Source organism: Homo sapiens, chromosome 13 (genome assembly GCF_000001405.40).
Source record: "Homo sapiens chromosome 13, GRCh38.p14 Primary Assembly".
Classification (NCBI taxonomy): domain Eukaryota; kingdom Metazoa; phylum Chordata; class Mammalia; order Primates; family Hominidae; genus Homo; species Homo sapiens.
The window spans coordinates 57,628,811-57,655,784 of NC_000013.11; the positions used below are offsets into that span (position 1 = coordinate 57,628,811).

Here is a 26,974-nt window from a genome sequence, read left to right on the forward strand (position 1 = left end):
TAGTAAATGAAGTTGGAGAATAAATAGATGAATCAGAAGTCGGCCTGTGTATGTGTGCTTGTGTATGTGGTGTGTGGTGGTGGTGTGTGTGTGTGTGTATATATGTGTGTGTGTGTTATGGCTTACAAAACAGAAATCTTAGATCTCCTAATGATTGGCCTTCGTGTTTTATACTTTTGTTTTCATGGATCTTTAGCAAATGCGGTTATCAATGGCTATTTGATCTTAAGGAGAAAAAATCAAATTGCAATGTGACACTTTAATAACAAGAATGGAGGTGAACAAAACACCGAAACTAGTGTGTGTGTGTGTGTGTGTGTGTGTGTGTGTGTCGGGGGTTGGGGGGTGGGTATCCACTTTACCTTGAACCTGGGCTGAGATGGTGAGGAAGGATGACCAAAAGGGGTAGAACCTTAAGTAGTATTTAGCCGGATTTGAGTTTACAAAGCTTGTATTGACAGTGAGCCTTTCTCCTTAAAGGAGAGGCTCTATTTCTCTTAAGAGACATAGCCTCTCTTTCAACGGGAGTCTGCTTTTCTTCTGAAACACTTTCATAATTAAGTGACTTTCCTTGCATAGGTGCCTGAGGACAGCTGATTTTTCTCAGAGGATGAAGAAAGTTACATATTGATTGCTGTTGCTCGCGGCATGTTCGTACCAGCGCGGGCAGAAACGGGCTCACGAGCGCCCTCGAATTCACACACACTCACCGAAATACACATCTCAGCCCGTGGAAGCGCATTCACACACACCCACGTACACTCCTCCGCACCTCATTCAGATGGGTCCACGCGGAGTCAGGGCTGCGCTTCCCTTGGCATGGGCGTGTGTGCGGCGAGGGCGTGTGTGCGTGCGTGTGTGAGAGTGTGTGTAGAGAAACCCTTTAGGCAGACCGCAGCTACGTTATTCTGCAAGCATACTGCGATTCCCGATTCCGTGTATGTAGGACCACAAAAAAATTAAATCGCTGTTAAACTTTTTTTTGTAAATTCTCTTTTCCGAAGGAAGGCGCTGGAAGAGCTACTCCCGGTGGTTAAAGGCCCGGGAGACCTGGTGGCGAATCCTGGGGCGCGTCCGCTTTGGCGGAGCGCTGGGCTCCGCTAGCCGGACTGGTTCCCCATCTAACTGATCTAATCAATGACTCCGAAGAGCCGGGGCTCCTGGCCCCGCCCCCGCCATCCTCTTCTCCGCCTCCCATTGGACGCGGGCCGAGAAGGCAGGGCCTTGCTCCTCGCTCGGATTGGCTGACAGGGAATCAGTATCAATGTTTAAGCGGCGGCGTGAGGTGAATAGAGTCAGTCAGCAAGAGACGCTGGGGAGAGAGCAGGGATCGCGAGCCCGGCGGATGCGGCAGCGGCGGAAGGCGGCTGGGGAGACGCTACTCCAACTGTTGAATTGAATTTTCACCTTTCCTTTCATCCGCTGCTTTGCTTGCGGAGATGGATTTATTTGCTTTGAAATCCGCATATCTTTCTCAGACTGTGGGGTGATCCCGGCAGACACCAGACTGAAAGAGACCACCCGTGACAGAAAAGGAGGAATTAAAAAAAAAAAAAACCTCCACAACAGACTGCACAATTAACTGTACACATCGATGTTGGACTTTGTGAATAGAAAAAATTGAGAGGAAAATCTTGAACTATGATGCGAGGCTAAGCTGGGAACAATTACTGGAAACCTGATTTTGTTTTTCCTTTTCCAAGACTCTGAAAAATTTCGGGGTACCTCTCGCCTAACCAAGAGGAAAGGTTTAAAAAAAATAAACAAAATAAATAAACCAATACACCTAGCAAAGCAGACGCCTTGTTTTCCAGAACCTCGGACTCCGGCAGAAAGAGGTAGAGTAAAAGTGCTGCTAGATTCAGCTTCACCTTCTTCCCTCCATCCTTTTCTCTTGCATTTTCTTTTTCCCCAAAAACATGAATCTGGTTTTTCTTTCTATAGACTGAGTCAGAGAAAGCGTTAGGAAGAAGCCGCAACTAATGTCTGTGAAGGGAGGACCATGAGGCGAGAGTGAATACGATTCGTTCCGCTGCTTCTGACTCATCCGGCAGATCGGAACACCTGCATTTCTGGATGTGTCATTCCCGTATGTCGAGGCGCCTCCAGAACCCGAAATAATGTGTAGACAGACCTGTGTCTAACATCCCCTCGGAGGGAGCTCCCCGGGGTAGGAGCCCCTGGCTGGACCGCCGCGGCCGCAGCTCTGCACCCCCTGCCCTCCCTGAGTCGCCCAGAAAAACTGAAAGAGAGACTGCAGAATGCATCACGCCAAACCTTGATGTGTTGCTTTCATCCAGCCCACTCCTCCTACTATAAGAGAAAATTGAAGGAAAAAAAAAAACACGTACTTTATTTGCTTCAAATATTCATCACTTTTATTCCTCGCCAAGGTTTTCTTTTCTAGATGAAGAGGACTGGGAGGCAGGGCTATTGGAAGGAGATGCTGAATAGAAAGAAAAGAGGCACTTGACAGCCCAGCCCTGTGAATGCAGAGACTGTTTCCCTTCTAGCGAGAGACAGGGAGAGTGTGTGTGCAAGGACTGGGAGGGAGGCTCCCCCTTCCTTTTTATTCGGCCTCCCCCCTCCTCCTTTAAATGTGCACGTCCAACCATGAGTTGCCTGTTGATTTCCCTTCGCCTGGGAAGAAAAGCAAACTGGAATTAAACTGCTTGGAGAGAAGTCCTTGCTCGCGGGGAGAGGATGGGATGGTAGCGGAGGCTACTGGCTTGGCGTAGAGAAATCAGAGAGTGTGTTCTACGAACAGAGGCGAAGATTTATCTCTCTACTTCCCCCCTCCCAATAGACTCACACAGCAAATGCTGATCAGGCTGTGGCTTTCTTGATTTCGGGGGAGAGCCTTTTCCGAGGAAGAGAGGGAGGAGCCTGGTGGGGAGAGGAAACTACAAATCGGGACACTAGTTCTTTACGCTGCATTTCCTCCCCTCCCTTTGGCTGCTCGGAAAGGAGAGAGAGGAAAAAAAAAATACGCTTGGCTGGTAGATGCAGTCCGCCGCCGCCGCTGCCTCAGCCAGCAATGCAAGATTAGATCTCTAAATGCAGCAAAACACTGCCTGAAAACAGACCGGCCCGCGCAGCAAGCAGACATTTCACGGTGCGCTGGGGAAGCTTCAAAATATATCTGTGACTCTGTCTTCGTTGCTCTTCATCCCCATCAATTTCATCACGGGAGGCGAGCAGCAAGTAAGAATTTCACTTTCGGATCTGCCTAGAGACACACCTCCCTGCTCCCTCCCCCACTCGATGTGAAGAGTATTCCGGAGTCTCCGGGCGGGAGTAGATTTGCAGCACCCTAGCGGGAGCGAGGAAAACCTACTGATTCTTTAGCTCATTATCATCTCTCCCAGACGAGATTTCCTTCTTATCGCCTGCCTCATCGCTCAAGTTTGAGCCTCCCGAAGTCCGGGCGGGAGAGACGAAACCCCTGGCTCACCCCCAGCCGCAGGAAGCCACCGCCTTGCTCCAAGCCCCTGCAGCTCTGCTGCACCGCAGCTTCTCACCCAGTGCGGATGCTGTAGATCAACAGGTTCAGGGAACTTGAGCAGAATAAGGAGAGACCACCGGGTGCCGCAGCTCGGGTGCAGAGGGAAAAAAGGACCCATAGACTTGTGGCTCGCGTCGCGCGCGCACGCTGCGCCAGGGCCCCAGGCTGGCGCGCACTCCCTCTCTGGCTCCTCCAGTCCGATTGCTCCTGCCCCCACCTTACAGGTCTGGGATGTACCTTTCCATCTGTTGCTGCTTTCTTCTATGGGCCCCTGCCCTCACTCTCAAGAACCTCAACTACTCCGTGCCGGAGGAGCAAGGGGCCGGCACGGTGATCGGGAACATCGGCAGGGATGCTCGACTGCAGCCTGGGCTTCCGCCTGCAGAGCGCGGCGGCGGAGGGCGCAGCAAGTCGGGTAGCTACCGGGTGCTGGAGAACTCCGCACCGCACCTGCTGGACGTGGACGCAGACAGCGGGCTCCTCTACACCAAGCAGCGCATCGACCGCGAGTCCCTGTGCCGCCACAATGCCAAGTGCCAGCTGTCCCTCGAGGTGTTCGCCAACGACAAGGAGATCTGCATGATCAAGGTAGAGATCCAGGACATCAACGACAACGCGCCCTCCTTCTCCTCGGACCAGATCGAAATGGACATCTCGGAGAACGCTGCTCCGGGCACCCGCTTCCCCCTCACCAGCGCACATGACCCCGACGCCGGCGAGAATGGGCTCCGCACCTACCTGCTCACGCGCGACGATCACGGCCTCTTTGGACTGGACGTTAAGTCCCGCGGCGACGGCACCAAGTTCCCAGAACTGGTCATCCAGAAGGCTCTGGACCGCGAGCAACAGAATCACCATACGCTCGTGCTGACTGCCCTGGACGGTGGCGAGCCTCCACGTTCCGCCACCGTACAGATCAACGTGAAGGTGATTGACTCCAACGACAACAGCCCGGTCTTCGAGGCGCCATCCTACTTGGTGGAACTGCCCGAGAACGCTCCGCTGGGTACAGTGGTCATCGATCTGAACGCCACCGACGCCGATGAAGGTCCCAATGGTGAAGTGCTCTACTCTTTCAGCAGCTACGTGCCTGACCGCGTGCGGGAGCTCTTCTCCATCGACCCCAAGACCGGCCTAATCCGTGTGAAGGGCAATCTGGACTATGAGGAAAACGGGATGCTGGAGATTGACGTGCAGGCCCGAGACCTGGGGCCTAACCCTATCCCAGCCCACTGCAAAGTCACGGTCAAGCTCATCGACCGCAACGACAATGCGCCGTCCATCGGTTTCGTCTCCGTGCGCCAGGGGGCGCTGAGCGAGGCCGCCCCTCCCGGCACCGTCATCGCCCTGGTGCGGGTCACTGACCGGGACTCTGGCAAGAACGGACAGCTGCAGTGTCGGGTCCTAGGCGGAGGAGGGACGGGCGGCGGCGGGGGCCTGGGCGGGCCCGGGGGTTCCGTCCCCTTCAAGCTTGAGGAGAACTACGACAACTTCTACACGGTGGTGACTGACCGCCCGCTGGACCGCGAGACACAAGACGAGTACAACGTGACCATCGTGGCGCGGGACGGGGGCTCTCCTCCCCTCAACTCCACCAAGTCGTTCGCGATCAAGATTCTAGACGAGAACGACAACCCGCCTCGGTTCACCAAAGGGCTCTACGTGCTTCAGGTGCACGAGAACAACATCCCGGGAGAGTACCTGGGCTCTGTGCTCGCCCAGGATCCCGACCTGGGCCAGAACGGCACCGTATCCTACTCTATCCTGCCCTCGCACATCGGCGACGTGTCTATCTACACCTATGTGTCTGTGAATCCCACGAACGGGGCCATCTACGCCCTGCGCTCCTTTAACTTCGAGCAGACCAAGGCTTTTGAGTTCAAGGTGCTTGCTAAGGACTCGGGGGCGCCCGCGCACTTGGAGAGCAACGCCACGGTGAGGGTGACAGTGCTAGACGTGAATGACAACGCGCCAGTGATCGTGCTCCCCACGCTGCAGAACGACACCGCGGAGCTGCAGGTGCCGCGCAACGCTGGCCTGGGCTATCTGGTGAGCACTGTGCGCGCCCTAGACAGCGACTTCGGCGAGAGCGGGCGTCTCACCTACGAGATCGTGGACGGCAACGACGACCACCTGTTTGAGATCGACCCGTCCAGCGGCGAGATCCGCACGCTGCACCCTTTCTGGGAGGACGTGACGCCCGTGGTGGAGCTGGTGGTGAAGGTGACCGACCACGGCAAGCCTACCCTGTCCGCAGTGGCCAAGCTCATCATCCGCTCGGTGAGCGGATCCCTTCCCGAGGGGGTACCACGGGTGAATGGCGAGCAGCACCACTGGGACATGTCGCTGCCGCTCATCGTGACTCTGAGCACTATCTCCATCATCCTCCTAGCGGCCATGATCACCATCGCCGTCAAGTGCAAGCGCGAGAACAAGGAGATCCGCACTTACAACTGCCGCATCGCCGAGTACAGCCACCCGCAGCTGGGTGGGGGCAAGGGCAAGAAGAAGAAGATCAACAAAAATGATATCATGCTGGTGCAGAGCGAAGTGGAGGAGAGGAACGCCATGAACGTCATGAACGTGGTGAGCAGCCCCTCCCTGGCCACCTCCCCCATGTACTTCGACTACCAGACCCGCCTGCCCCTCAGCTCGCCCCGGTCGGAGGTGATGTATCTCAAACCGGCCTCCAACAACCTGACTGTCCCTCAGGGGCACGCGGGCTGCCACACCAGCTTCACCGGACAAGGGACTAATGCAAGCGAGACCCCTGCCACTCGGATGTCCATAATTCAGGTAGGAGACTTTTAGCATAACTGGGAGTTCACTTTATTGCTGGTTTTGGAGCTGTCCTGAAACCTTTGGAACAGGGCAAGCCACTCTGCCAGCAGCAGTGAGGGGGAAAAATAATTAAATGAAAACGGTTTACACTTTTGACACTGTGTATACATCATATTCTACATATAACCCCTCCCATGTAAATAGTCTAAACTCTACCAAACGTAAATATCTTACTGTTTCATTTTAAAATTTATTTTTATAGGTTTAAAAATGTTAGCAGTGTTCAATAATAATAGCTTATTTTACTTACTTTTATTTGTTGGTTTACATTTCTTTTCATAAAAAGGAATTCCCAGAGCAGAAAAAAATGTTTTAGTTAATTGTCTTGAAAATATTTTTATTCTGTTTTTTTAAATGATGCCAAAAATGAAAGGAACTTATACCCAACTATTAAGAAGTTAACTTCTTTAAGTACAGAATAACAACCAGTCAGAATTTCAGAGTTCATTCAATTTGAACTAACTTTTCATCCTTAAAAAGTCAGCTTTATATTTTAAAGGTGCTTTAAAGAACATGAATCTCACTTATTCTTCATCATTACATTATGGTAAAACTGCAGCATAATGCATTAATACAGCTTAAGCTTTTCAAATGTGAGTTATACTCTGAAGCACTTTGAAAAGTTTGAATACATGCAGGCTCTGCATAATGACTAGTAACTATCTATGAAAAGTTTGTATTTGTTTTGTCCTGTGGTTACCGTGATCTGTTTCTTGGAGTCACTGAGGAATGAAAGGAATACAGCAGAGGACCAGAGGCTCATTTTGCGCTACTGAAAAAAGGAGGCAAAGTTACACTGAAGGCACTTGATGTGCCAAAATGAATTCATGATGCATTTAGTTTGCATAGTGTGTATATTAAGTATATCTAAGTGATATTTAATATATATAAGATAGTATGCTTCAAAGTTATTGATAATACCACAAAACTAAATGACTGACCCAGCTTGGACATAGATTCTAACAGCAGCAGGTGACTATACCATGTCTAGTCATTGTCTTGTTTCTTTTACCTACTATTGAGTTGTGTCACAGAAAAACTTCATTCTTGCTTATTATAATTGTATGTTGCAACAAATTACTCTGGATGAGCAGTATGTGGAATTCAAAATTGAGCTTAACTGAAAGTGACACCGCAAGAGGAAGATTAGTTTGGGGCAAGTGGAAATAATTTGTTCATAATGTTATGCTTTGAAAAGCAAATAACTTTTGATGACACTGGACTCAATAATGTTTTTATTGTTAAAATGGAGCAGTAATATTTCATAATCTTATTCTTTCTAACATAATAAGTATACCAAATACTAATACTTAGCAAAATATATTTTCCTATAATAGTATAATGTCCTTGTAAAACAATCTCACACTTGACACTACTAAATATTAAAATATCAATTGTAGTATTAAATCTCACTTCTAATAGTGTTTACTATACATCAGTAATCATAATTTTTTAAGGTCTATATAAAACTGAAAAAGAAATTCTCCACTTTAAAAAAATGTGGTTTCTATGAAAGTATTTCTGTGACTGTGTAAAACTGGTATTTATGATAATCAATACGTATTTAGAAGGAAATATTAAAACACATATTTAAAGATTTGCTACAGTCATTTTATAAATACACATATGTTAAATACCTTTCTTATATTTTTACCATTGAGAATTACAAAGATGTCACAGAGGGTTAATGCTTAGTCTTCCATTTAAAGTGCTGTGAGTTGAATTTTCATTTAGTTTCCAGTAAAAATGAAGGTGGTGCAGAATTTTCAACAAGCCTGATTCCTTTGTTAGACTAGTGGGGAACAATCTTGGATTGAAATATCCAGAGATTTTGAGAGATAGTGATACCTGTAGTATATTGCACCATGCTGTTCTTGAAGGTGGTCATTGCTTAAGGAGGAATAGGATAATGATTCCTCTCATTGACAGTAAAACTCAAGCCAAAGCAAATACACACGTGCGCACACACACACAGAATGTAAAGAGAAAACTTTTTTTAACATTCTGTTTCTTCTAGATTCTTAATTCATGCCATAAAGACACAAACTATGTTTTTGTTTTAAGTCCTTGAAATGTTTTGCACAGTGGCTAATTTTCCCATATTGCTTCTACCCTAGAAATATCCTCAACATGCATTGTTTAAACTTTTTTTTAATTCAGTTTTTGTAATCGTCTAAAGGATGCTTTGTAAGTTCTTAATATGTTAATTCTCTTTCAAATATATCAGGTTTATCTCAATATTAATTATGGGGAGCAGAGTAAATTAACTACAGGGACAGTCTTTTTTTTTTTTAAACTAGTGTGTCGCAAACACACTGTGCTAAAGTGACATGCTTAAATTAAAGCATTTAGGTATCCCATAATCTTGTTTCAGGTGCTTTTATTAGTGTATATATGTAATACAGCATCCTAAGGAAACACACTATTAATCTCATGTGTATTTCTGAAGGTAGAATTTTAATCCACAGAGTGCACTTAGCCTAACTGCTACTAGGTCTGGTTCATCTTCATTTTATAGCATCTGTGTTCTGTTTGGAAGTACAGAGTATTCTATTGATGGAATGAAAAGAATTTCATAATTGTGTTGAGATACACTGGTACAGTGCGGTGATATGAAATTTAGGAACTTTATGATTTATGAAGCTCACATTAAAGCTAAAGTTAAGATTTAAGTATCAAAGCATTTTGTGTGGGTCAAAGGGCCTAAAATGTTAAGGTTAATGCCTGTAGGTTCTCCTTAGGCATAGGAGTACTTTTACTGAGTATGGATGCTAAGCATTCATATAAGCTGATACAGAAACAGTGATGTTTGTGAGAAGAGATTTGATTTCAGGTGTTTTTCAAGTTCCTCAGAAAAATTAAAGTATAAAGTGTTTAAACAATAGATTAGCAACTAAATACCCACAATAGTGTGAATCATAATAAAACACAGTTATAATTAAATATTTAAGTCTTTTTAAACATATAAAACTGATTTTGAAGAATAGGAGCACAGGTTTTGTAGTACATAAGGCAAATAGATTGTTATACAAATTTATAAGAGCACTTTTTATAGGAGCAATATTCCTGTGAATTATTTTATGTGTTAATATGAAATCTAAAGTCAAGTAAAGAGTTTATTACTAGTTCTCAAGAATAACTGCTTATCGTGATTTATCAAGAATTAAGTGCTAAGTCTCAGGGTGACTTCTCAACAGGTGTTTTCAATGAAGGCCTTGTAGGAAAGAGAGGAGGAGGCTGGGGACTTCTCACTGATGGGAGACTTCCCAGTTTTGTTTGAACATCTGTGTTTTCACATTTTTTGTAGCACTACTACAAATCATTTTAATATGCTCTCATAGAAGGAAATACATTGAGCCAGCAGAATAAGATCTACTAAAATAAATTTTGAAAAGGAATACATTCTTACTCAGTGTTTTACAAATCAATTTCAAACGATTCACATTTGGGTTGACTTTAGAGTCTTTATGCTAGGAAGATAAAATCCTTTTGATAGATGTACATGGCCTTTTCAATAACAGGGAATTAAGCATATGGTAAATACCTAGAGCCAATCCAAATATATAAAAATGATATTGAAGTGTAGAGGACTAACGTATCATAGTGTAAACAATAAACTCAATATTGCAGAGTAAAAAGGTGAAAGGAGACTCCATCTTTAATAGCAACATTACCCGCTGTATGCCTTTATTCCCACTTTGCTCTAGTACAGGAAGATCTTCACTATGGGGACTTATTCAGATAAGTTCCCAAGATCATGATCTTCAAAATTTCATACTCTAGCCTATTAATGATTTCAGTAACAAATACAAAGTGCGTGAACAATTTATTTTGGTATTTATAATTTTGGAGATATTTTGCTATGATTTTTATTCTAAGACAGCTCTTTAATTAGTATATGCATTAGTTTCCATAAACTATATATACATCTCTACTTGTAGGCATTCTGGTATCTTGAGTAGGAAAGGAATGTCCCTTTCTTACTCTGTGCCTTCTGGATTGTTTAGTTCACTCATCCTTTTTCTTAAATATTTTGAAAAGGTAGAATGAGTAATTCCTACTTGAGAGTACACAATAATTACATATTTCTTTTTCTGTTTTATCAGGCATTAAAAGTAGTGTAAAGTAAATAAACTTAATTTAAAATATAATCAGATATTCAATGTTTAGAGTTTTTTTGGAGAAGAGTTTATAACCCCTAAAAGTCCAAAAATTGTTATCATCATTATTATATTGTTACTTTTATTTTTATATGCATTTATGAAAATTTTAGCTCCAATTTTAATGTGGCATTTCTCTATTTCCCAATAAATGAAAACACAGAAAGTATAAAGCTAGAAACCAGAGAATCTTGTTTTTAATATTAACTAATATAACTCTTTGTAATGTATTAACTTCTTGATTCCATTAGCTTTTGGTTTTCGATAAAATTTTCAAAATGCAAGCTAGGTAATATTTTACCATTCTTGTATTGAGATTATAATCCTTCAGTCTTTTGAAAATGTCAGGAGTAAGATAATTTTTAATTTTACTTGAGTTGTGTGAGTTCTATAATTTCAATAAATATTACCATATGTAAGTATATGCCAAAAAATTTGGAATTTTAGTCTTGGCATCTTCATGTTATTTAAGGCTGTGTGTGATCATGAAAAGATCGGCATAGAAAAGTATGCCCTAAAATTGTTACCTCAACTACCTGAATATACTGTTTCAGTCATGAGAAAATTTACATTACCACCTTTGACTATATTGTTCAACATACTAAACACACAAAATCCCCCAATTTTCCAGAATGTTTTCTCCATAAAGTTGATGCTATAACATATATCATTCACTTTTTTCAAGTGCATAGATGCAGATTTTGTATATGAGGTTAAAATAATCCCAAATATCATCTCTCTTCAAAAAACTAAGAAATACACATATTTTAAGAGGAAAAAACCTTCAAAAATTTCAGGTAATATTTAATCCTGTTTAAAAATATAGCATTTATATTTTATCATGTTTCAGGACTATTCTTGGGTTTCAGGTTTCAAGTTTTTCACTGTTAGTGCTGCTTGCTGCTTATGTACTATAACACAATAGAAATGTATCTACAAATATAAAGGGCATACATTAAGAAAAAATATATTTAAGATTAATGAAAATTCACATGCATTTATTGCAGTGAAATTTGGCTATGCCTGTATTTATGAAAATATACAAATAATTTTTTGGTAAATTTAAATATGTGTATAAATGTATATGTCTTTATATTTTCAATATAGTGTATGTAAGTACTTGCTCAAGCACAAATACTAGTCCAATTTTATACATTTTAGTTCAAAAGTATTTCTTCTCTAAGGAACAGCTCAAGCTTTTATTTTTCTTTGAAAATATGTTGAAGCTTTATTTTACTGTTTTAAAGTTTCAAACAATTTGAAGTCCCATAAAATAGAGCTAGTGACCCTAGAGCGGGGGGACTTAACACGTGGCCTTCAGTGGGCAATAGGTTGAAGCCTATGTAGACGAAGAGAAACAAAAATCTCACCCAAGTTCCTGATTCTTTTGAGAAGATGGCAGGAGAGCTGGAAGCATGTGAGAATGTATGCTGTGAGCCTGATGATGAAACAACAACAGGAGGAAGAAGAAGCCACTATAACTGGGCCCATGCCAGTTAGGAAGTAAAACTTAACTCCCTAATGCTGAGAAGTCTTGCAATACACTCAATAGTGGGTAAATTCTTACAAATGCACCCGCTAATTACAATATTAGTCATTGCACTAGAATGTATTCCCCTCAGTGGTACTTCTGTTTAATAAATCCCATAGGGCATTATCTTAAGGTTGTATTTTAGTAAAGCCATTAGGGAGGGATTTTTTGTGTATTAAATTCCTTCAATCAATGACTGTATATTAGTTAGAGAATAGCATAAAGTTCCTTTTGCCTATCATTTTGAAGATAATGTGACTTCTGCAACCCACCTACAAAGCACTTTTAAACTTCGTCAGACCTGCATTAACCTATTGTCAACCTACTTTAGTAAAGGAGGCTTTGACAATAATTTTCTTCAATGACATACAGTATTTTATAGTTAGTCATAAGCTTTCACCACTAGCTTTGACAATGATATACTGCGATCTTTGGTCTTCTGGAATAAGTTATCTACAATAAAGAAGTCCTTAATGACATCAACATCCCTACTGTGACTAAGCAGAAGCATGCTTTTATTTCCTTGCTACTGCAGAAATACTAAGATCAATATATTTAAGGTAAAGCAAAAAAAAAGAAAAAAAACACGCAAAAATCCCATAACAAAATATAGATGAAAAATTGTGGCTCTGTGGGTGGCATCCTTTGCTTGTATGTACCAAGTTCTTCCGGGGATAGACTATAAAATTGGTTTCAGACAGTGTTTGAGAGAAAAAAAAAAAAAAAAAAAAAAAAAAAAAATATATATATATATATATATATATATATATATATATGACATACTTCTATTCATCTGTTCTGGTCCTAGTGACATTCTGATTACTGGTATTTGTAGGCCTTGCCCTGGATCTATTCCAAGCAGTTTTATTGTAGTGAAATGGTTCTTACAGTTCATTGAGCATCTAGCATAACTGTGCTGAATATGATTGGCGCGTTTGCATATATTTATTCAAAAAAATAAGGCAGTTAAACAGCATAATTACGGGAAAACGAATCATAACAATAAAAGACCATTTAAGTTAACAAGCTTTGTGATCAAAGGATAAATACAGGTTGGATAAATGACACTTTAGATGTAACTAATCTACATAAATAGACTTTGGTCTGATTAGAGGAGTGGAATATATTAAAATAACTTAATGGTATTAGAAATTTACTTTATTTCAGTTATCTTGAAATGTTTAACGATCTGTATTATCTTATTTTCTTTATGTTTCTATTTAATATAATAGTGATACACCATATTTAAGTTGTATGAAAAATGCCAAGGTAAAGATAAATATAATTTTGTAAACTTCTGTTTGATTCTGAAATATATGCTGTCTGAACAATATTTAACACTTTTTAAACTTTTAATGTTTTTGATTGATTTTTAATTAGTGGAACACATTAAAGGGACTATTTAAAGGACCATTTCTTGTTTACGCTCTCAGCTAAAAGCAGCCTTTGTAGGGTTTGAAAGCTAGAGCATGAAAATCAATTTGAAATTTCAAAGCTATACATTCATAATTGTTTTGTAGATATATACTCTTATAAAAAACATTGGTTACATGTTTGTAAATTATATTGATACATAATTTAGACAATGACTTGATATTCTGAAAGATTCTGATGCTATTTTCATAGCATCTATGCTTTACAGTTACCTTACAACTTCTCTAAACAAGTAATTTCTTTGCAACAACTATGGTATTTTAGATATATTTCATTCAGCTGTTTTTGATAATAACTTTAAAAATATAATTTAGGCACTGAGTCATGAATTGTTACATCTCATTATCTAGGATTTCCACCTAAATACTTAACAGATGCTAAACAATGATTTGGTTTTTTGCGTGCCTAAAATTTTCATGGTCTCCAATTCAGAAAAAAACTCAAATTAAAATATATAAATGAAATAATTAGGTTATATTTGAAATTCCAATAATTTGCTTTGATCAAATGAAAATGCAACAGGTATTTATTGTAGGCAGAAATGGTTATGGGAGTCAAAATAGCTTTCTTATTGTTATAATACAATTTCAGACTATGCATGTCATATAAATTCTTAAATTTGAATTTGCTGTACAAACATTTGCATCAGTTTTGAACATCTAAAAGTAGTTTTCACCCTTAATCTACAACATTCTTTTAAAAATCATAGTCCCCAATACAAATGCCTTTGCTAAAATAGTTCATTTTATTTTTCACACAACATATTTTAGCAGTGTATACTGAGATTATTTTAACTGAATACTTGATATATTTTTGCTATTTTTTCACGGCGACATAGAAATTGCATATGTATTACTGAATTTATAAAGCAATTCACCTTTGACAATCATGAAAAGAATTACCTAACCACATGTGTAAAGTGGCTGTGTGAAATTTTTACTGATGTTCTTATTTTATCAGTAGATAAAATGAAATTAAGACATTAGAATGTTTGAGAAATAATATGCTTAAAATTTTAGCAAAATATAATAAGAAAAAAGTTATTTTAGTAATTTGGAAAAGGCAATTTGTTTAAAAGAATATTTTTCAGTTCAAACTTGAATAAGTGCTTAATGATACATTTTATATAAATTATTAGTCATAAAAACTAAATGTTAAAAATAATTACTTCAATTTCTATAGTTCTGTCAGCAAAACAAAAACAAAACACAATATCATCTAAATATTGGTGAATTCTATTATAATAGTGTCTTCTTGGGTCCCACCAGAATTCATGCCTTCTATTTTGCTCTTGCAGTTTTGCATCTATTTTAAAATAGTATATCCCAAGTCCTTTTATTGAATTAAGAATGTGAATAAGAGCAGTTATAAGTCATACAAAAAAGATAAATCACTAGTCCGTCTTTATTATCATTTTCATTGTGGTAATATTAAGGATTCCATACAAACTTACCTTCCCATTGTTTCACGGCAAGACACTTGATTGTTTTAATTATTATTTGAAGATTTGTGTGACCTTGTGTTATATTAATGAATTTTTTTATTTTTGTGAGAGGTCAGTGCCTTGCCTCATATTGTAATCTTGGTTGATTAAATCAGAAATTCCTGACTTAAAGAAGTAAGCTTATAGATATGCATTGACTGTTATTTGGCATGGTATGCATAGAATGCATTTATCATTTTAGAAAACAATACAAATGTTTTGGTGCTGTGTCATGAACCAAAGTGTAGAGTGAGATACAGGATTATTAAAAGCAGATATATCAGAAAACAGTAACTATTTTAATATCAATGCATACCTTGAAAAAATATTCATAACCTTTCACTTTTTAGTGTTGGCAGATGCACGGGTAGTAATTATTAGCTAAGTTTCCAGGTTCCAACCTTCTTAGGAAAGCTGCTGTTTATCCCTATATGGTCATAAGGATGGAAATAAGAGAACCATCCTATTAAACAAATCCCACTCACAGGACATTTTAAGGATCCTTGGCAGAAGTCTATTCTATGGTGTGGCTCTGATATCAGATGTGCCAATACCAACAAATGAAGCACTATGCCTGAGTGGAGAGAAACTAGAAAAGACAAAGAATACATTTATAGAGACTTTTTTTTCCTTCTGATTTTGAGCAATAGACTTTCCACGATTTTTTATAATCAAGACAATTACATAGTAATTTGGGTTAGAATGCGTGCCCAGTTCCCCATCTCAAAACTCAATTTGTTACCACCTGTGGCTATTTCTATTAAAAAAAAAGAAACATAATTACTATGAGTCTCAGCAGTCTTAGAGTAAATTTTTGCAATTACAATACCCCCCTTGGGCAGATGTGTGAAAATGGCAGATTAATTCTTGCCAGGATTTTTCTGTTCCTCGTGCATTTTTAGGTTTGGTGTCGCCTGCTTATTAGAGTGCCTGTTTTGCTCTGGTTAAAGGTTATGTCAGTTTTTCCGTAGTAAATCTCTAGAAATAAAGATCCACAAATTAGCCATTAAATTTTGCCTTAGGTGAAAAGTTGACATGTAATGTCTCAGGAAAGGAGCAGATAATATTTTCCATCACGCTCTTCGGTTGCCTGGTTAAGTTTGAAGTAAAAGGGAATAAGACCATTTGGCAATGTTGAGAAAGCACGACTTAGCCTAGGAGGTAATAAGAAAAGTGTGGTAAAATAATATCTAATCCAGTAGTAGCCATGGAAGTGATCCCAAAGCTACATGTTGCCTAGGGATTTTAAAGTGCAGTAAAAAATATATTAATACTGGTGGATAACAAGAAATTTAACACCCAACTCATTTCCATTCATTTCTTTTTGTAGTTGTTGTGTGTACTCTTTTCTTAATAAAGATTTAATTGATCTACACACAAACTAATGAATGATATTAAGTCTGTAAAGTGTTAAACCTCTCGATCAGTGTTTTAACTCTCTATGAGTAAGATTAGTTATTTTTTCTCAAAGCAGTCTAGATAGTAGAATACTCGAAACCAGAAGCCGCATCCATCTTGATTGTCACTGTAGTTGAAATAATGTAGCAGTTTCTGACATGTAGTATACACTTAAAAAAATATGAATTCTTTTTGAAGAAACTGAGACTTCTATAGTTAAGTCATTTTCGACAATCACCCATCAGATACATGCTGGAATTTGGATTCAAATCTAGATGTGACTAAGGCTAAAGTCTAAGATATTAATATAAATATGCTAAAATGTTGATCTGCTGGTAAATAATTTATTTGAATGTGGCATATTTTGATATTTTTAAATTTATAGTTACCACTTTTGTAATTATTGCTATGAAAATTTGTATATAATTTTATTAATAATATTACAACTTCATGGAGAAAGACAGGTGATCAAGTTTCACAATTATGAGCATCAAGCTCTCCCAGTATTTGTTTATATTATATATAATTGTATATGGTATATATAATATATACACACACACTTATATAAATGGTACATCAAGAGGAAATTGTGTTGATTGTAGCATATCTTTCTATCTTTTGTCCCACTCTTTGGTCTGGTTTATATGGTATTAGAGTGATGCACTTCTGATGTTATGTCTGTCTATTTTTTAAGGCTTTAAGGATTACCCAACCTCAGTCAGTTATTAAGAAACTAATATGATCATTTCGTCTATATATTAATTAATTTTTAACCTGGTTTTATTTGTGGAAATGCTCCATAAAGTATAAATATTTATTTTCTATATGATAATTTTAATGAAATGAGATTATATCTAAACCATAAACAGTTATTTTGGGATTACATTTATTTTTATTTTTTGATATATAATTTTACAATTTAATTGCTTGGGCACAGATCATCTACCATGTGATAATCAGAAAATAAAAATATGGTTGGAAATTATCAAGTGTATGTAATAAGCCAACTTACAACATTTTTCTCAAAATTTCAGAATCTGTCACATATATGTGGTAATGAAATTTTTATGCAAATATTGAGTAAATGCAAGCTAAGCCTTCATATAAACAGTATGTTGTCCATTTCAGTATTGTTATTAAAAAGACATCCACAACTTTCAGAGGTGTTTAATCTATAATTATTAATTCAATGAATAAATAATGTAATAATTTTAAAAGCTATTAATTGAAATGGTTTACTGGTTTTTCATTTTTTTATTTGTGCAAATTTATGGGGTACATGTGAAGTTGTATTATTTAGTACTTTTAAGCTATACTGAGAGTTAGCTACGTTTGTCTGAATTTTACATTTTAAAATCCATATCAAACCATAAGGAGGTTTTACAGAATAAAAGTTTTAGGCAGAACGAGTTTTCAAACATATTAAAAATTCAATTATCCCCATTAGTCAGAGTAGCTGAAATAAAAAGTGAAGGAAAAATAGAAAGAAGCATAGAAATGTAATTTAAAAATGTTTAGAATTCATTTTCAACCTTCGTAGACAAGAGGATTTTTCTGAAAGATTAAGCTAACGGTATTAAATATCATATAAGATTATCCCATGAATAAGAAGTTCTCAATGCAGAATTTATATCCACATTTGTCTAGGCATTATACTAATAGTTCAAGTCCATCTGTTAATTCACCCTGAAATATTTGGCATTTTTGAAAATAAGACACATCAGCAATCAGTGCTACTCAACCTTGATCCAGGGGGATGTCAAAATAAGTCTTGGTTACATGTTACTACAAGAAGCCCTGTGTGCCAGGAACAAGTTTTCTCTTAGACACCATCAACCAGAAACTGGGCTTGTAATATTCCATAATCTGTTTGTGTTTTACTCTTTCTGTGACTTTTTCTTAAACTATCGTACATGCTTTCTTTTAAAAAATACAGCTTGGACATCTGCTGGCAATGTGACTTCCAAATAATGTTGGTAAAAATCTTAACGTTTCATAAATACACCAGTTGGCAAGTACTTTTTAGTCTTTATATCAAACCTTATAATCTAAAAACATATGTCATTTGTTTAAAAGACTTTGAAAAGTCATTTAAACATTTTAGAAGTATTATCCAAAATACATGATTGTGAGTGAAAGAAAAGGAAATAAATTATTATTTATGTCTTATGCTGACCTGTTCTAATTCTATTATTTTTATCCTTGGCTCTGGTCTCTTTTCTGTGACATCCCAGCAGAAAATATGCTTTTCACAGGGTTACTTTAGTACCTTGTATATTTACATCTAGTGTACTTTTTAAAAATATTCAAATAAATATGTTGATAAGGCATGGTGATATTTATCACCAGATAAATGTTTAACTATATGCACATTTGGGCCTGGCCTCTGTATAGTTGACTTTACATAGTGCATATACACAGGGGTGGATTGGATTGAGCAGTATTATGTTTCTCATTTTAAAAATGCATTTAATAGACAAGAAACTTTTGTTTATTAGCTAAAATAAAAGGCTTCTTCAATTTCCTTTAATTTAGGCTTGAGTATATATTTTAAGATGTAAAATGTTGATTTTCTTTTATATAAAAGCAATAAAATAAACTTCTCCACATGATTTCCTCTTGTGGTTCTTCGGGCAAGAGTGTGCTCTAATAAGATATAGTCGAGATAAAATTCTCCATCTGCTACTCCTGAAGAATAGAATGCTAATTTTTTTAACCTCTTGGTAAATCTTCTTTCCATACTTATGACTATGCAAGTCAGCGTAAGCTAATGTATCAGTTCATCATATAAAGAAAGAAACTTTATAGTTAAACTTAGTCAACAAATTTCTTAGAATTATTTTTATTTGAAATTTTCCATTGAGTCTCAGTGAACTTAAACTTGACATTTATGTTAAATATCCATTATTTAACTAGAGAAATCAAATCGCCAAGGAGACATCTGTTATTTAACGATATTACAGTTTGGATTTTTTTGGTTGAAAGTGTGGGATGGTGATAGAAAGGCTCTAGGAGTGAGGGAAGGAAAGGAGCTGTGGTTCAATATCCCCAGGTAGTATAAATAATTGGAAAGTGGAGATACCTTTTTAGTTGGTTAATTGTAATAAACCTATTATCTTTTTAGAGCATTAAGGTAGAATCAACATGTTGGAAAACAGATAAAAGGTGCATGAAAGCATTTGAAATTCAATCATTAGGTTTCATTGCACCCATCTGCTCCCAGGAAATATAATTGGAAATTTTATTCATTGACCTTTAGCTGCCATTTTGGACAACAGTTTCAAAGTCTGTATTTTCAAGTTGGACATTTGAAGTTAATTAGATAAGAGCCATACTCAGTGCATTTTTAAAACCCGATTATTTGTTGGAACAAAATTTGAATAAATAAAGGCTTAATGGGCAAGTGTATATTTGACAAAGAGTCAAAATAGTTAATCTTGGATCTGCTTAAAAGCAACTAATGTTCAACTTCATTAACATTTCTGTTAACTAGAGGGACTGCTCAAGCTTTTATTGTTTTTTTATGTGCAAATTCCTACCTCACATTAATTATTTTCTGGATTCATATTACCTTAGAGTTATACTTACAACATTCAATTACACTAAAATCACGTACCATGATATAAGGGAAAAAAATTAATGAAACTATTTAGTATTTCAGGTGGTTATCTTGAGTTTTAAAATGTTGGGCACTCCCAATTCCTTTTGCCAGTGTAAGTATAATACCATATAATCTTTCTAGGATATTTTTATGTCTCTACTCAGAAGGATGATGTATGATAAAACTGTGTGTCTAATATAGGAAGTACATTATGTAAATTGATCAAGATTTCTTGCCAGCATTTGTGTATTGCTCTGCTTACTGAAGTTCATGTACCTTGGAAAAGAGTCATGATTAGACAGGTGTTTCTTCATCCTATGAGATCAAATTTCTGAAATATTTATATAGTGATGAGCCAGATGTACACAGCTTAACCTTGTAATCCCATTTCACAGCTTTCCCAAATACTTGGAAACTTGTTAAGTATGAAGCTGATTATTTTGGCAGCATATCTCCATTAATAGGATTCAGATATTCCTTATTTACAAGCCAGTGCTGTTAATATAATCTACTACATTAAATCAACAAGGAAATGGAAAAAGGAGAATCCGTCCAAGGGCAAATTGACAGGGAAGCTTTTCCTAAAGCTTTTTAATTTGTTTTTTATTGACTCCATAATATCAGAAAACACACAGCAAATGTGAATAATGTACATGTTTTGGATACCATGCTACAGCCATTTTGGTGTGAAGTAGTTAGTGCTCAGATCCCTTGTACTTCTATCATAACTTTGATGTAAGCCACATAAGACCATGCATCTCTGCTCTTTACAAATATCCCTTTCAGCATCATCTCAATGGCAAAGCTTACTGTCATTTGACATAAAATTATTTTAAATGCACTCATCTGTTTTTTAATGAACAGAAGCAATACAGAATAATGTAATAATATGTCATGATTTTCATTATGCTTATTTATTGGTTCTGCAATAATAGGAGAGCATATTGTTATGCTTTCAGCTTGAGCTATTTATGCACTGTGCTACTGGATGCACCATTTTATATTTGTGATATTTTGTCCTCCCAAGAAAAGGGGTATCAAGATCCTTAAATCAAATTAGACTAGGGGAAGAGTTTCATACTTCGTCTTTTTTATATTAAGTATATAGCTTTTATAAATTACCTAACTCTACTTGAATAAACTTACACACCTTCAGAGAGAGGAATACCCTATTTTCCAAGCTGTATGTGACAACCTGATTTACATGGTTTGAAAAGAAGGAAGAGGAAAGCAGACTATCAGAAAAGAGAACAACTTTTCCTTTTTTATCTGTTGGAGAAAATTATGTCCTTTGTGTTTTATATTTACACAAAAGTGTCTAACACACCAATAAGAAGGTGACATAACTTTTTTAGTTATGTTATAAAACAAAACATATAATTAAGTAACTTGTAAAAAAAAGAGTTTTTCAAGCCCAGATGAGATGTAAATATTTGAGATTTCTGGACCCTTGATTGTGTGTGTGTGTGTGTGTGTGTGTGTGTGTGTGTGTGTGTGTAATAACAGATACTCCAGAGATGGAGCTACTCCACTGAGACCACGTGCCTGTAGGCCTGTGTAGTTGAGATTCAGGCACGGCTGGTCTACTGCCTTTTGGATTTCAACTAGTCTATCATTGAACTGGAATCTGTAGTGACCCTCCAGGGATGAATTGCTTACATTTGACTACAGGGCCAGTTACTCCTCTTCTGTTTGATTTTTAGCAAGTCAATAGTTTCCCTACAAAAAGATACTTTAATCCTGGGAAAAACAACAACTATTACAAACTCCTGATATTCAGATATCCATGTTTTTATATTAAAATAATTTCAAGTTGTTTTTGAATATGTTATTTGTCTTTGAGTTTAATTTTCACTCTTCTCAAAATTATGACTATATTTTTCCCAATTTTAAGAAAAATTCTTATATATTGCAAATATTCTACTAAAATAAATATCTAAAACAGTGTCCAGTGTATAGTAAGAAGTCATTACATAATTGTGGACTGAAAATAGAGAAAGTTGAACTTATAGAGTTCAATTGCCTATAATTTACTACTCAGAGAAAACCATTGTTAATTTTTTGTTGAGTAAATCTGCAATTCTTCCTTTCCAATTCTAAAATTCAAAAGACTCAGGCCTGAACTGATTTAACATTACTTATAATCTTTACTTATTCTACCTAGTGTGAATATCAACATTTTTCACTGCAGAGATATCGATATGTTTAATATTGAGGTGTTCCGCTAGTCCCCACTGGAATGGACAATACATGACATATACATCAAAATATCATTCTAAAATATGAAAGAGGATGGTCTTACAAAATGAAAAAAAGGATTGTGAACCTATATCTCTTTCTACTTCTTCATGCCTGTGCACATGCACACAAACACACAACTATATATTTTATAAAGAGTTGTATATATACTAAACACAGCATAGTAAACTGCATTTTCCTTAAAATTGTATAAATTTCATGAAAAATTATATACTATTTCATTTTTTCATGTCAATAATGTAGTTTCACATTATCTTAATAATGGAATTCTAGGCCAATCAATGGATATATTAAAATTCAGTTACTCTCTGATAGATAGGTGGTTTAATTGAGGTTTTTTTTTTTTTTTTTTTTTTTGAGACCGGGTCTCACTTTGTCACCCTGGCAGGAGTGCAGTGGCACGATCTCGGCTCATTGCAATCCTTTCACATCGGCCTCCCAAGTAGCTGTTACTTCAGGCATGTGCCACCAGGCCTGGCTAACTTTTATATTTTTTTTAGAGCTGGGGTTCTGCCAGGTTGCCCAGGCTGGTCTCAAACTCCAGGTCTCAAGCCATCCATCCGCCTCAGCCTCTCAAAGTTCTGGGATTACAAGTGTGAACCACAATGCCTGGGATTCTATTTTGAAAATTCCTGACTTAAAAATATATATATTAGCTATGCAGTCCAGGGGAAGTTGCTTAATCTTTTTAAATTTTGTTTCTGATTTCTTATAAGGCATAATATTTACTATCTATAGGGCCGTTGTAAGAATTAAAGATAAAATGTAATTATTTGTATAAAGAATATGATAAATACTAAATACATATTAACACATATTATTATTGTTGTTAAAAGCAAATTACATAAAACATTCTGGTGCAGTTAAACTTTAGGGTACTGATTTGCAAACATATTCTCTATAAAAACAATATTTCACTTGGCCTAAATATAAGCAGTTGCATAAGAACAGAGTTTTATTTAAGAACACTTACGGGCCGGGCGCGGTGGCTCACGCCTGTAATCCCAGCACTTTGGGAGGCTGAGGCGGGTGGATCATGAGGTCAGGAGATCGAGACCATCCTGGCTAACAAGGTGAAACCCCGTCTCTACTAAAAATACAAAAAATTAGCCGGGCGCGGTGGCGGGCGCCTGTAGTCCCACCTACTCGGGAGGCTGAGGCAGGAGAATGGCGTGAACCCGGGAAGCGGAGCTTGCAGTGAGCCGAGATTGCGCCACTGCAGTCCGCAGTCCGGCCTGGGCGACAGAGCGAGACTCCGTCTCAAAAAAAAAAAAAAAAAAGAACACTTACGACTATAAAAAGGTAGTTTTACTGGAGTACTAATTAATTTTACTACAAATTTCATTTTGCACCCTCTAAACCAGGCTTGGTCACTTTTGGTTAATTTTTGTTAGATGATTTTAAGAGTGACAAACTTTTGGTAGAGGATTTTCCAAAATCGGTTTCTAGATATTGTAAATTTCTTAAAATAACAAAGTAAACTCTAAAGTAGAAAGATGTTAAGTCTTCTATATAAATTGTGACTTCTTTTTTATGGAGAGAGGCCTTTTAGGAAGGAAAGCTTGTACCAAGGAGAAAATGAAGAGAAGTTTCTACAAAAGAACTGTTGTAGGATAGTGAATATTAGAAATTTGGATGCGTACAATTGCTTCTGATTCCATTTATACTTCTTTTCTTACAAGAAAACTGAAATACAGAGATTTCATTCATGTATTTACAGCCAGCTAGGAATACAGAACTAATGTCATCTGGTTCAAAGTTTAGAGTTCTTGCTCTTATACCACCGGGATCTCATGATTAGCATGCATTTATCATATTGAGGTATCTATAGAGTTTGAGAAATTTATATAGTATAAATAACTGCTGCTATAAAGTACTGCAACTTGGTTCCTAGATTGCAGGTCACTTTGGAGGAGAATTCTTTAAGGCTTCTACACGTTAAACATTAAAATCTATGCTGTGACCTATGTATAACACATTGCCACAGGGTCTTTCAAATAGGAACCTGGCAGTAGTTTCAAGAGGTTCTCTAGCTTTGTCTTGTGTAGTAAAAGTATTCACAAATTTTGGATACTATAGAGCAGCCCAGGATTCTCATGGATTTAATCTCAGATTTAATGTTAAATTTATTTAATTTTATTAAATTTATTTAGTTAAATCAATTCTCAGATTTAATCATAGAACTGGCTCTGATTATTATTTTATTCTAGTCAAAATGGTCCAGTAGATTTCATTGCTTTTCTTTGTGTTTAATCTAATTCAGAGCTGAATAGTTAGGAAGAAAGCCATTCCAGGGGGTATGACCTCGTATTAGAAACTGTAGGGAGTGTTAATTAGAATGAGAATAATAAATCTGTAAAATAGATGTGACAATGATAAATAGAGTAGAATAGAAAGCACAATACACAGAAAAGCTAGATGAATCATACAGTACTTGAAAGAGTGCAAAATTTGAGTCAAAAGAAACTTGTTCATAATACTTACTCATATTGAAACCTCCACTAGCCTTTCATAAATTTCATAGGACTTAGTTTCCCCATCCACAAAAAAGAAATAATTATAATGGACCTATAGAAGTGAGGTTAAAAGGAAAGAGATTTGAAGGTGTAATATAGTGGTGAGATCATCCTATAAAATAGGTGAGGAAGTATGCGATACAAAGGAGTAAGTTCTGGGTATAAGGGTGAATTCTTTGAAGTAAACAAGAGCTGAAGAGCAATGTTGCTGGAAAGAACCGGTATTTACTCTTACACTAAGTACACTCTAGAGGAATTTATAATATGCTTTAGGAAGCTTCATGTGTCGAAATGCATTTTGTTTTCAGGTGTTCCCATGGCGGTACTGTTTCCGCAGTTTTAAGTAGTTTGGAATTGAGTATAAACACACTGCAAATCACCTAACACTGCAGTCCACTTAAAAGAAATATGAACAGTTTTTCAATCAGGTGCTTTCCACATGTACATCTTGTGAGGGAGGTCTGTGTCCTACAGAGAAAGAAAATGATTTGTGTTTTTTCTAAACTATGACCTAATTAAGCATAGTGCATACATAAAAATTCATCTTTAATATTTTATCTGCAGGAATGTGCAGAGTAAAAATGTTAATTATATGGTTAAGAACCTAGACCTAGATTTTCTAAGTAAGGAGTCAACAACTTTTTCTGTTAAGGGCCAGATAGTAAATATTTTAAACTTTGTGGTTCATGAAATTCTCTGTCACAAATACTGTACTCTGCCATTGAAGCAGGAAGGCAGCCATAGAAAACATGCAAATGAATGGGACATGGCTGAGTTCCAATAAAACTTTATTTTCAAAAACAGATAATGGGCCATGAGACAACCATTGTTGTAAAGCATGACTGTTATTGATATTTCTTAAGTTTTTTTTTTCATTTGTGTGTGTGTGCCTGTAAAAATTGCACCATGTAGATTATAAAAAGTTTCTAACAAAATCAAAATGATTGTTATTTTAAAACTAGATATAAAAGAATGCAGACCTATTGTCTCATGAAATGATCGTCATTAAGTAAGATTGCTTGTTTCACTAGAGGAGAAAATTCTTGAAATTAAAATCTTTAAGCAAAGAAAAAATTGGAGATGCTTGAATTTGATATTATGTGACAGTCTGATAAAGAGTACAGAGATTTCACTTCATCTTGTGCTAATGTTTAATTAAAAGTATATTGACACTAGTAAAGACACTTTATTTTAATTTGAGGTATAAATGTCTACCTAAAATAGACTATTTCCATTGAGTCATACATTTTAAATGTGGTATATATTCTTATATTTCAGAAAATGATAACTATCATAGAAATCTAATACTCATTAATTTGATTAATAATTATTTTTTTCCTCAAATTTGGAAATATCTTTTCCTATGTAATGGTCATGTCAGAGGTTGTCTTTCATTATGTTTTTGGATGGAATTGGTAAATTATCTTTGAAGCTATGTAGAAGGTTGGGGATTTCAAAATTTACCCAAACTATTTATTAATTATTATAAAATATGTTGGCTGATTAGCTACTGGACTGACTTGTTGTTTATAGTCATAAAAAAGTAAAAATTATTTATGCCTATCAAGAGTTAAAAGAAAAACAATAGGCATTGTGTCAGTCCATTTCATCTTGAACTTCATTTTATTTTGTTTTTTCTATTAGGAGTTAAAATGCACCTACAAAGGTGACAGTTGAAAGAATAATGCAAAACAGAGAGACAACTAAATTTGTTGATATTTTTAATTTCATTTGTCAAATGTAACATTATCTAAATAATAATTGATTTATCTTCTAATTGATGATTTAATATTTTGAGATGTAAGAATGGTGAATTTTGTTTACCAAAATTATTGTATTCATAAAGTTTCTTATTTTAGTGTATTGTGAAAAAATAAATTGATGGAAATATATAACAGACTTGTAGTCTGTTATATGTTTGGATCACCTTTTAAATTAGTTATTTTGTTTGTGTGTGGGAATTTTACATAATGATGGGAAAAAAGTAACATATTAAATTTCTTTTGCATTTAAAAAGGTAGGTATTCATAGGTGCCTAGTTTGACAATTTATATGAGTATAATGATGGTAAGTAATCATATGATTAAACCTCCTGCATGCATTAGAATATTTGATAATAAATGGCCATGATTGCCTTTTAATGTTATCGATCAAAGAAAAATCTAGTTGTCAGAGTTATATATAAAGCACATTAAACATTAAACAATAAAACACATTAAAACAATAACATGAAGGTATAGAAATGT

At 36.7% G+C, this 26,974-nt stretch overlaps 1 protein-coding gene across 4 annotated transcripts in view, besides 2 other annotated features; it reads left to right on the forward strand.

Annotated features, from left to right (window-relative positions):
• Nucleotides 897-1,482: an enhancer, noted in NCBI's record as "OCT4-NANOG-H3K4me1 hESC enhancer chr13:58203841-58204426 (GRCh37/hg19 assembly coordinates)". NCBI's record gives its function as "activates a minimal SCP1, AML or CMV promoter by ChIP-STARR-seq in naive H9 embryonic stem cells {active_cell/tissue: H9 hESC(naive)}" and the evidence as "EXISTENCE:reporter gene assay evidence [ECO:0000049][PMID:30033119]".
• The window catches only part of PCDH17 (protocadherin 17), a 99,204-nt gene continuing 73,527 nt past the window's right edge, over nt 1,298-26,974 (forward strand). For 2 of the 4 annotated variants that reach the window (XM_005266357.3, XM_047430276.1), the window contains exons 1-2: nt 1,298-1,838; nt 1,945-6,301. In XM_005266357.3, coding sequence (XP_005266414.1) covers nt 3,737-6,301 — 2,565 coding nt within the window. In that variant the 5' untranslated portion in view covers nt 1,298-1,838; nt 1,945-3,736. Of the gene's footprint in view, nt 1,839-1,944; nt 6,302-26,974 lie in introns of those variants that run through there. The other 2 variants (NM_001040429.3, XM_017020547.2) reach the window with 1 other exon arrangement.
• Nucleotides 3,441-4,120: an enhancer, noted in NCBI's record as "H3K4me1 hESC enhancer chr13:58206385-58207064 (GRCh37/hg19 assembly coordinates)". NCBI's record gives its function as "activates a minimal SCP1, AML or CMV promoter by ChIP-STARR-seq in naive H9 embryonic stem cells {active_cell/tissue: H9 hESC(naive)}" and the evidence as "EXISTENCE:reporter gene assay evidence [ECO:0000049][PMID:30033119]".